The sequence below is a fragment of the Homo sapiens genome, chromosome 14, assembly GCF_000001405.40.
Source record: "Homo sapiens chromosome 14, GRCh38.p14 Primary Assembly".
NCBI classification, from domain to species: Eukaryota; Metazoa; Chordata; class Mammalia; order Primates; family Hominidae; genus Homo; species Homo sapiens.
In genome coordinates, this window is record NC_000014.9 from 53,320,652 (window position 1) to 53,333,112 (window position 12,461).

Genomic DNA, 12,461 nt, shown 5'->3' on the forward strand with positions numbered 1-12,461 from the left:
TAACAGGGATATCCAGGAATTGAACTCAGCTCTGCACCAAGCAGACCTAATAGACATCTACAGAACTCTCCACCCCAAATCAACAGAATATACATTCTTTTCAGCACCACACCACACCTACTCCAAAACTGACCACATAGTTGTAAGTAAAGCACTCCTCAGCAAATGTAAAAGAACAGAAATTATAGCAAACTGTCTCTCAGACCACAGTGCAATCAAACTAGAACTCAGGATTAAGAAACTCACTCAAAACCGCTCAACTACATGGTAACTGAACAACCTGCTCCTGAATGACTACTGGGTAAATAATGAAGTGAAGGCATAAATAAAGATATTCTTTGAAACCAACGAGAACAAAGACACAACATACCAGAATCTCTGGGACGCATTCAAAGCAGTGTGTAGAGGGAAATTTATAGCACTAAATCCCCACAAGAGAAAGCAGAAAAGATCTAAAATTGACACCCTAACATCACAAGTAAAAGAACTAGAACAGCAAGAGCAAACACATTCAAAAGCTAGCAGAAGGCAAGAAATAACTAAGATCAGAGCAGAACTGAAGGAAATAGAGACACAAAAAACCCTTAAAAAATTAATGAATCCAGGAGTTGGTTTTTTTGAAAAGATCAACAAAATTGATAGACCGCTAGCAAGACTAATAAAGAAGAAAAGAGAGAAGAATCAAATAGACGCAATGAAAAATGATGAAGGGGATATCACCACCGATCCCACAGAAATGCAAACTACCATCAGAGAATACTACAAACATCTCTACGCAAATAAACTAGAAAATCTAGAAGAAAGGGATAAATTCCTCGACACATACATCCTCCCAAGACTAAACCAGGAAGAAGTTGAATCTCTGAATAGACCAATAACAGGATCTGAAATTGAGGCAATAATCAATAGCTTACCAACCAAAAAAAGTCCAGGACCAGATGGATTCACAGGCGAATTCTACCAGAGGTACAAGGAGGAACTGGTACCATTCCTTCTGAAACTATTCCAATCAATAGAAAAACAGGGAATCCTCCCTAACTCATTTTATGAGGCCAGCATCATCCTGATACCAAAGCCTGGCAGAGACACAACAAAAAAAAAGAGAATTTTAGACCAATATCTTTGATGAACATCGATGCAAAAATCCTCAATAAAATACTGGCAAACCAAATCCAGCAGCACATCAAAAAGCTTATCCACCATGATCAAGTGGGCTTCACCCCTGGGGTGCAAGGCTGGTTCAACATATGCAAATCAATAAATGTAATCCAACATATAAACAGAACCAAAGACAAAAACCACATTATTATCTCAATAGATGCAGAAAAGGCCTTTGCCAAAATTCAGCAATGCTTCATGCTAAAAACTCTCAATAAACTAGGTATTGATGGGATGTATCTCAAAATAATCAGAGGTATCTATGACAAATCCACAGCCAATATGATACTGAATGGGCAAAAACTGGAAGCATTCCCTTTGAAAACTGGCAGAAGGCAGGGATGCCCTCTCTCACCACTCCTATTCAACATAGTGTTGGAAGTTCTGGCCAGGGCAATCAGGCAGGAGAAGGAAATAAAGGGTATTCAATTAGGAAAAGAGGAAGTCAAATTGTCCCTGTTTGCAGATGACATGATTGTATATCTAGAAAACCCCATCATCTCAGCCCAAAATCTCCTTAAGCCGATAAGCAACTTCAGCAAAGTCTCGGGATACAAAATCAATGTACAAAAATCAGAAGCATTCTTATACACCGATAACAAACAGAGAGCCAAATCATGAGTGAAGTCCCATTCACAATCACTACAAAGAGAATAAAATACCTAGGAATCCAACTTACAAGGGATGTGAAGGACCTCTTCAAGGAGAACTACAAACCACTGCTCAATGAAATAAAAGAGGATACAAACAAATGGAAGAACAGTCCATGCTCATGGGTAGAAAGAATCAATATTGTGAAAATGGCCATACTGCCCAAGGTAATTTATAGATTCCATGCCATCCCCATCAAGCTACCAATGACTTTCTTCACAGAATTGGAAAAAACTACTTTAAAGTTCATATGGCACCAAAAAGGAGCTCACATAGCCAAAACAATCCTAAGCAAAAAGAACAAAGCTGGAGGCATCACGCTACCTGACTTCAAACTATACTACAAGGCTACAGTAACCAAAACAGCATAGTACTGGTACCAAAACAGAGATATAGACCAATGGAACAGAACAGAGCCCTCAGTAATAATGCCACATATCTACAACTATCTGGTCTTTGACGAACGTGACAAAAACAAGCAATGGGGAAAGGATTCCCTATTTAATAATTGGTGCTGGGAAAACTGGCTAGCCATATGTAGAAAGCTGAAACTGGATCCCTTCCTTACACCTTATACGAAGATTAATTCAAGATGGATTAAAGACTTAAATGTTAGACCTAAAACCATAAAAACCCTAGAAGAAAACCTAGGCAATACCATTCAGGACATAGGCATGGGCAAGGACTTCATGTCTAAAACACCAAAAGCAGTGGCAACAAAAGCCAAAATTGACAAATGGGATCTAATTAAACTAAAGAGCTTCTGCACAGCAAAAGAAACTACCATCCGAGTGAACAGGCAACCTAGAGAATGGGAGAACGTTTTTGCAACCTACTCATCTGACAAAGGGCTAATATCCAGAATCTACAATGAACTCAAACAAATTTACAAGAAAAAAACAAACAACCCCATCAACAAGTGGGCGAAGGATATGAACAGACACTTCTCAAAAGAAGACATTTATGGAGCCAAAAGACACATGAAAAAATGCTTATCATCACTGGCCATCAGAGAAATGCAAATCAAAACCACAATGAGATACCATCTCACACCAGTTAGAATGGCAATCATTAAAAAGTCAGGAAACAACAGGTGCTGGAGAGGATGTGGAGAAATAGGAACACTTTTACACTGTTGGTGGGACTGTAAACTAGTTCAAACATTGGGAAGTCAGTGTGGCAATTCCTCAGGGATCTAGAACTAGAAATACCATTTGACCCCGCCATCCCTTTACTGGGTATATACCCAAAGGATTATAAATCATGCTGCTATAAAGACGCATGCATACACACGTATGTTTATAGCGGCACTATTCACAATAGCAAAGACTTGGATCCAACCCAAATGTCCAACAACGATAGACTGGATTAAGAAAACGTGGCACATATACACCATGGAATACTATGCAGCCATAAAAAGTGATGAGTTCATGTCTTTTTTAGGGACATGAGGATGAAGCTGGAAACCATCATTCTCAGCAAACTATCGCAAGGACAAAAAACCAAACACTGCATGTTCTCACTCAGAGGTGGGAATTGAACAATGAGAACCCATGGACACAGGAAGGGGAACATCACACACCAGGGCCTGTTGTCGGGTGGGGGGAGCGGGGAGGGATAGCTTTAGGAGATACACCTAATGTAAATGATGAGTTAATGGGTGCAGCACACCAACATGTCACATGTATACACATGTAACAAACCTGCACGTTGTGCACATGTACTGTAAAACTTAAAGTATATAAAAAAAAAAAACTATTGCACAGTTCACATGCCAGCCATTTAACATTGGTTTACTCTCTACTTGGGGATGACATCTAGAATCTTAAAAGCGAAGCTAGGCAATTGGAAAGAATGAGACTTGGGCTGCCTGGTTCAGGGGCTCTTGTTTCTTCCTGCCAAAACCTCTTCTCTCCTTTTCTGCTAATAACCCTCCCACTCTCCTGTCTTCCTGCACGGCCTCTCCTTGGCCATGTGTGGATTCCTAGCCCCAACCCCTCTGGAATCTGGAGTCTCCCTTTAGGTAGAGAATGAATGGAACAGTGATCTGCCTGAAGTATCTCAGAGGGGCACCCACACACTGCTGCAGGTGCAGCCGAGGCTGTTCATGTTCTTCCTGAAGCCTGATTGTTCATCTCTTCTTACAGTTCTGTGAACTCTTGCCACATCCCTCTCACAAATCCCCTTTGGCTTTAAGTTAGCCAGAGTTGGTTCCCGTTGCTTATAACAAAACATACTCAGCTTATATGTATGGCAATATTCAAGATATCATTCTCAAGGCCACTTAGGCATTTGACATTCGGATAATTGGTAGACTTAAGGATCGTGAGATTGTTTCCAGGCACCAAGAAGATGGTACCAGCTGGCAATTCAGTCTGTCTATCCTCAGGAGTTTCCATTTTAGTAACATTTGAAAGGATTCTTTTAACACGGATTGTGAAAACTTCGAATTTATTGAAAAGACAAAATTACAACGAATGAATTGTATTTTATACTTAATAGTCAATGTAGCTATACTATCACTAATGAGTGAATCATGTATTTTATACTTAATCAATGTAGATGAACTGTCATTAATTATAGTATTGGGAGTATGGTTATTTTTAACTTTTATTTTAGGTTCAGGCTACATGTGCAAGTTTGTTATATTGGTAAATTATGTGTCATGGGGCATTGGGTGTACAGATTATTTCATCACCCAGGTAATGAGCATAGTACCTGATAGGTAGTTTTTCAGTCCTCATCCTCCTTCCACCCTCCACCCTCAGGATGAAATTGTGCTGCCACCAGGTGAGGTATGTAGTGAGCAGGGATGAGCTCTAGGAGCCTATAGAGACTTCTGATTCACAGTGTTAGTTTCCTGTCTTTTTAAACCTGGTTTAATTTCCTGCTCTCATAGAGGATCTTTTTTCAGGAGGCTTGGTGGTCTTTACTGCCATCTAGCTTCAGTAAGGGGCACCCTAGTCTCAGAGAGATTTTAACAAATTTAAACCTCAGAGTAAAGGGATTGGGGTCCCTGTTTCTTTTATCTTTCAGAAAGCCCCTCTATTTCTACCTACATTATTGAGAGCAAACTGAAACTGAGGTAAAGCAGCTCTGTTAACTTCCCCAGGAGCATCTGCTCTATGTTGAATTAAAAAGTCCTGTTATACCAGTGCCTTGTAGCATTAAGTGAACAAACTATTCTTTACTGCAAACATTCTGATGATGTAGTTTCCTATGACACACATGCCTCATCTCACATAAAAGAGCTAAATCCTTTTATTTTAGAAGGTGAATAGATGATATCTAACCTGAAAACATTCAGAAATATTGATATAGGCATATTAGAAATATGAAGATAATAATAATAGCTCAAAGAGCTAAAAATGCTTGCTGCTGAAAAGTTATTTTTACATATCATGAGTTATTTTAGTTTTTAAACTTATAGCTTTGAGGAAAAATAACTTTAAAAAAAAACAGCATCTTTTCTTTGGATGAATGCAAAGTTTGCATTGGCTCCATGGAGTATGTATGTGGTTTCAGAGCCCTAAAATTTTTCAATCTCATGCTTCCATGTTTGTAGCTTTCCTTAAGTATATGATGGTTCATGGATCTTAGCTTTTATTCAAAAGCTTGATGATTGAAAAAAAAGAGGGCTGGATGTTAGTTCTGTGTGGTGTGGGCAAGCCTTGTTGGGAGGTAGCCTGACCTGTGGAGTAATTGAAATGGGCTTCCTCATTGAGGTCCTCGAAATGACAGTACCTATAGGCTTCTTTTCTTTAGGCTGGTCAGTTTTTTCAGAGAGGTTTTCTCTCCTCGGGATATGAGCGTAGCTGCTAGCATTCTGGGGACAAGTAATGAGGAAATGGGAGTTAGGGGTTTCACTATTCATCCTATAAACTTTGCTTGTTTTTTTATTTTCCATTCAGCATTTCTACCTTCAACTTAGCCTGCTGTCCCTGAATCCAGAGACCCTCTCTAGAGAATCTCTCATTTTTTCCTTGGGTGAATGAGAGATGGTTCCCTGACTGTAGGGGAGTGGTCTAACTGCCTGTGGCATATGGTCTTTTCTAAAATGGCCAGAACAATATTTCTCATTCTATATGCTGTGTGTTGTATGTTGGGTATTTGTGGGGGACAGATGACTTATGTCTATAGTTCACAGATCTTCAACTCCAGAGAACTGAGTTTAAGGAGCTGTACCTGGGAAATTGTGCCTGAAGCTGTTCCTGAGGAATCTGCACCTGGATCTAATGTACATGCTGAGATCCTGGATTTGAGCTGATGCCATAGTGGGATGAGACTTTGCCGTCTTGGGTGTGGGATGAATATATTTTGCACTGGGAAGGATGTGAAGTATTGTGGTTAAAAGGTGGACTGTAGTTCATTGCATTTTTCAACAATGGCCACAACAGCATCTCTTATCCTATGTGCTCTTCTTCCAATGTGACTGTGTCCTCTCTCATTAAGATGCGGAGTCTATTTCTCCACTCTCTCAAATCTGGTGGACCCTGGGACTTCTACCAACAGAGTACAGTGGAAATGATGCTGGGCCACTTCCCGGTTTGGTCTTTAACTAGTCTGGCAGCTTCTCCTTTCTGCTTCTTGGAAGCCAGTAAGAAGTACAACTATCCTGAGGCTTCTGCTGTGAGAAGCCCAAGCCATGGGAGAGGCTCTGGAGAATGAGACTTCACTGGGAGAGTGAAGAGAGGAGCGAAGAGAAAGAGAGAGGCACCAAGGATCACTGAGTTGCCAGAACATGAATGCTAAGGCCATATTGGAAATGGATTCTCCTGCTTCAGCTGCCCCAGCTGATGCCACCAGGATCAGAGATGATCTGGCCAGCTGAGCCCTTCCTTAATTCTAACCCATAAAATTGTGTGCGAAACAAAATGGTTGTTTTCAACCACTAAGTTTTGGGGTAGGTTTTATGCAGCAGCAGATAATGGAAATACTGCTTGGTTTTGACTTTCAAAAAAATCCATTTGTTTTCAGGCTTGTCTGCACTCCTTCTTTAAGAGGTGCTAAGAGACTGGACTTAGTTCTTTGTCCAGATAAATGTGTTTTTCCCACTGCTAGCTTAGGTTTTATTTTTTTCACGTCTGCTAAGTCAGTAGTCCATTTGCTTTTCAGCTTCCAAAACTTAATTATTCTAATTTTCCTTATTGTTCTCTTCCTTGTGGATTTATGCATTTTATTTGCTCCTTTCTGTAATTTTTGTGGTATTTGGCAAACAGTGAAGGTAAATATACACATTCAATCTGCCACATTTAACTGAATGTCCCCTATGCCTTTTATTGACTGCTTAGAATGGCAATGGTAATTTTGGCCTCTAGGCACAGAGAAATAAGAGTTTTTTTGTGAGTCACATTGGCCCAGAGCTCCTCCACTCCTCCACAAAAGGTGAGAACTTTGTAGGGCTGACTCAGAGATCAAGGCTGATTCTGATTCTGGCTGGAACATTCCTTGGGGGTGTGATTACTATGGGGACATAGTAGGCGCTACAGCTGGCTCTGGGAAGTAGACTCTGGGTTGCCAAAAATGGACATACACACACACACTCTCTCTCTCTCTCTTCTTCTCTTTCTGTCCCTCTCCCTCTCTCCATTATATGGTCACATTTGGGTAAGTTAATGAAGATTCTTGAAGAAGAAAGCAGTATGGTGAGGCTTTCTAGTGTCAAGGTCACTTGACATTCAATTGTGAGCTCACTAGAAGAGAGGGAGACATGACATATTAAATGTTACCATGGAAAAGAAAAAGTCACTCCCAATTAAAAGGATTGAAAAAGGAGAACCAAAGTAAAATAGGATTTTGTAGGTCAATGAAAAAGCCGAAAACAAAAGCTCTGTCACTTGGACTGTTCCAAGTTCTCAGGCAAGGATCTGAGAATTTCCCTGAAAATATGGTTTAGGGTTCTGAGAGGAAAAGGAATCAGGCTTTTGTTATTGAAATAAACAACCAAAGATCTGAAATGGGTCATTTACACATTTTTTTATACTTCAAAAAGGGAGACTGAAACTTCCATTGAATTTATGTAAAAGAGTCCTTCACATTGGCTGGTTGAATTGCCTCACAATAAAAAACAAATCTGCCAAACTGAAGACATTTGCAGCCCCCAGTGTTACTAATTTTTTCCCCAATTTCACCCTAGCCTCTTCAGCGTGAAGGTCACGTGGACCTAAGTACGAGCAATTTTAAACATAAGTGTTAGGTTTTGAAGGTGTTATTTCTCAAGGGAGAAAGAAAAGTAATAGATCGTAAGACAGAGCCTTAAAACAGAGTTTTAGGGAGTGAGTAGGAGAGATTTGTGACATCTCAGAGTTTGAGAGAGCCCTGTGGAAAGTGGCAGGACATTTTTGAGAAACCTTCTTTTTGGACAGGCTCTAAGTTTAACAAAAAATACATTCAATGACTCAGGCAAGTTCATTAAGAAAGACTTGGGTGTGAGGAGCAGCCCCGGGGAGCTGACCTGGGGCTGTGCATCCAAGAAATAAGAGAGCCCAGTTTAAGCAGGTTTTGATGAGTGGGAGATCCAGGGATCATTTCACGGAAAGAAAGAATTGGCTTCAAGCTACAAAGGAATTTTATAGACCCTAGACAATTCTCAAACTTGTAGGGAGTTCCAAGTTCTGTGGTGAGTAGAAACTTCTCTGGCAGTAAGATAAACAACTCAAAGAGGAAAAAAACTAATCAAGTCACTATAGCCAAACGTAACGGAAGCAGTGTGGAGTAGTGCTGGAGAACGTGGGCTTTATGGTTAGATAGTCTGGGATTTTAGCCTTTGTTTCTTCCTGGCTACTCAGGTGATTTTGGGCAACTAACTTATTCTTCTCTGAGCCTCAGCCTCCTAGTCTTTAAAAGTGGGATAATAAAATGTATTTCATAGGGTTATTTTGAGGATTCGGGGAGAGGCTATTTGTCCAGCACTTATCAGGGGCCTAGAACACAGTAAATGGTGGTTGCTACCACCAGCTACCACTGTCTTCATTGTAGCAGATCTAGATTGCTGTCCACACATGACGCATGCTTCTCTTCCATAGAGTACTGTTTCTGGGAAGTTGCTACTGAAATGGGGACTGCATTTCCCAATGACCTTTGCATTCAGGAGGGACCAGGTTACTGAGTTCTGGCCAATGGAATGCCAGTTGAAGTCATGTACATCACTTCTAGGCCTGGCCCATCAATGCTTCCTAGGTGACTGCCATCCTCATTCCCCCTCTGCTGGCTATATGTCAGTGGTTAGGGTGACCTTGGAAACCAGGTGCTGAAGTCAGCAGAGCCTTTGACAGTCTGGTTCCTGAGTAATTGCATGGAACAAAATTTCTGAGTTTATCTGTCATAGCAATTAGTGTTACCTTAATAACGCAAATAGCATCATCGTGGCTTAGGATTGCAGTAGCCTGGTTAAGTCTGAGCTCAAGAATAAACCCTGGAGAAATCAGCCAGGAGGAATATTACCTTACTAGGGACCAGAATGGCCCAGGAAGGGGCTGTGGCTCATATTGAAAGATAAACCGTAGTTGATCTGTGTACTTGTACATTACTCATTGTAATTAGTGTTTTGTCATGAAATTTCTCTATACTGTGTCCTAAACTGGTGACTGAATGTTTATCTGGTAGATCTATCACTATAGATAAGCCCCAGAAGAACTTAGTGAGGAAAAAAGAACATGACCTTTGTGGGAGAAAGCCCAATTTCCTTGAGTGTTTGAACATTTATTGCTAGTTACTAATGTCAGGGAGATTTTGATTTTTAGATCTCCCTTGGTTGACTTAAGGGCACTGCAAATCTTTCTACTCTGTTGGTTGACAGTTCAGATTTTCTTAAAAACTAAGCAACTTTTAAAAGGGTTGAGTGGGCAGATTCCATGTCTAGGATCTAGCTAGGTCAGATTACCTCAAGGAAAACTCAGTGACTGGATGTTCAAGCCATCCAAAGTTATGACTTGCTTTTTTTTCTTTTGTTATTCGTAACAGTTGTTCTCTCCTCATTATTTTCTGGAGGGAAAAAACAAAAAAACACTCAAAGTACAGGCCACTTCATAGAGCCAAGTGTCTAATTATCCTCTTGGGTAGTCTGATCTATGTAGCAGAACAAACTGAAGTTGTTCTCTAGGTGGGAGTGGGTGGCGTTTCCTAGCCTTCATTTGGGGATGGTGGCAAGGATGTGGGGAGTGAGTTGTAAGACCAGAAATGCCTGAAACTGTGCCAAAGAACTGCGGCATGGCTGGGAAGATTGGTATTGTTGGCAGACTCCATTGTTACTTCGTTTTCATCTTCTTATCACTCTACCTCATATCTTTTCCATCTTTCTGTTCTCTCTTTGGGTTTATGTGATACTAGTGTTAATGGCCAAGCCATAAAGCCAGGTGGGAAGAAAGCAATGGCTTGGGACTCATGACCATGGGCTCCCGCCGACAGGGTCAAAGCTTAGTCCATTAGAGTTGGGGGAGAGCATTCCAAGAGCAGTGGTCAGGGTCTTGGGAGATCTCAGAATCAGGAAGTGAGTCTGTGAAGCCCTGACTCAAGACTCCTGAGGCATGTACGTCAGAAAAGCCAACTCTTATCATTTGACCCAACCCGAAGGCAAGTGTCATTTTTACAGATGCCAGTCCTGCATCACAGTCTTAACCAGAACCTTCAACTGGGCTGGGAGGTGAGAGTCAGTGATTGTAGGTGCTTGGTAGAAAAAAAATTGTTTTAAACCCATTTCTCTCATTTATCATCTTTTCTCCAGGTCAGTATTAATGCAGATTTAGGTTTATAGACTCTGATCAAGGATGCTGAGGAAGGAAAACCTTTTTAGTCTTTTTAGAAAATAATTATAGTCAGCTCTTTTGACTTACATGACCAGGAAGAAAGTAAAAAGTATTGAGGTCTATTCAAGAGTTAATCAAAAGTGTAGTTCCCTCAAATGCTATGATGTGTCATGATTGAACAAGAAAATGATACTGTTTTGGATTTTTTCTAATGAGTCACATTGACACAGAGTGGGACTCATGATCTGGGAGGTCCAAGCAGTATGGGTAGCTTATTCTGTGTGTAAGGCAGAATTCTAAGATGACATCTGATGACTCACGTCTTGTATAATGCCCTCCCCTTGTGTGTGGGGAATACCTGTGGACATAATGGGATATCACCCATGTAATTAGGTTTCTAATCAGATGACTTTGAGTTAATCAAAAGTTTTCAGAGTTTATCTGTTATAGCATTTAGTGTTACCTTAGCAACACACATGGCATGATCGTGGCTCAGGATGGAAGAGGCCTGGTCAAGTCCAAGCTCAAGAATAAGCCCTAGAGAAAGCCAGAAAGAATCCCACCTTACCAATACCCAGGGGGGCAAAGGAGGGGCTGTCATCCACATTGGAAGACAAACTGTGGCTGATCTGTATACTTGTACATTACTGAGTGTGTTCAGTGTTTTGTCATGAAATTTCTTTACACGTTGCCCTAATCTGCTGCTTGGACATTTGTCTGGTGGATTTGTTACCACAGACAAACCCTAGCAGAAAGAATGAGGAGAAAGGCCATGACCTTTGCAGGAGAAAGCCCTGTTTCTTAATCTGTGTGGGTTCGACCTAATCAGGTGGACACTTAAAAACAGATAAAGCATCAGAGAGCTTTTCCTGATGGGCTGCAGGGGGAGGCATGTGAACTGCCTATGAAAGGTCTACAGGGTGAGGACTGAAAGGGCCTCCTAGAGGATTCAGCAACATCTGGGATCTGAGGGTGCCCTGGCCCATTGTCAGGGAACTCAGTGCCAACAGCCTGAATGAGCTTGAGAGAGACCTTCCTGCTCCACATGAGAATGCAGACCCAGTCACATTTTGAATCCAGCCTTGTGAAATCCTGAGCAGAGAACCTAGTTACACTGTGCCTAGATCCCTCACCCACCGAAACTATGAGATAATAAATGTGCATTGTTTTAAACCAATGAACTTGCGGTAATTTGCTACGTAGTGATAGAAAACTAATTCACTCTGTTTATTAGCATACTTTTTAAAGTCTGCAGAAGCAACATTTGATTTATACAGTGCTATAGGTCATTTCACTGTCAACATCATACTTTATGACATAATGAAAAGGATGATATCCTGTTTTTCTTTGAAGAACTCATCCAAGCTCTATGTTTCTCATTTAGTTACTCCCTACAAAAATAATGTGTGAATTTACTTTGAACTACTTTAGTATACATGCCTTTAGTTTTTCACTTTTGAATCACTGTAATGAAAACATTGCATTTAAGTTTTTAGTGTTTTAAAATTTTGAAATAATTTCAAACCTATTGAAAAGTTGCAAGAACTGCATAGAGAACTCCCAGATCCTCGATACCCAAGGTTCCTCACATTTTCTTTATCTACTTACCTATTTATTTTGTCTTGACAGGATGGCTCATAACTCTTAAACACTACAGTGTATACCTATTAAAAATAAGGATATTCTCCTTCTTAACCATTATACAACCCTCACAAATCCTGATTGCATCAACATTGATGCAATGTGGCTGTCTGAGGCACAGACACATCCAAAATTTACAAACTGTCCTAACAATGTGTCTTTTCATTTTCTGGTCCAGGACTTTATCCAGGAACACACATTGAATACAGTTGTCATGTCCCATCACTCTCCATCGATCTGGAATAGTTCTTCTGTCTTAAAGATGAC

General features: G+C 40.6%; 1 long non-coding RNA gene across 4 annotated transcripts in view; it reads left to right on the forward strand.

The window, feature by feature from the left end:
• Positions 1–12,461, forward strand: part of LOC105370504 (uncharacterized) — a 402,142-nt gene continuing 389,681 nt past the window's right edge. For all 4 annotated transcript variants that reach the window (XR_943876.3, XR_001750975.3, XR_007064173.1 and 1 more), the window contains exon 1: positions 1–12,461. This exon is cut by the window's right edge and continues 17,189 nt beyond it. This is a non-coding gene — a long non-coding RNA (uncharacterized LOC105370504).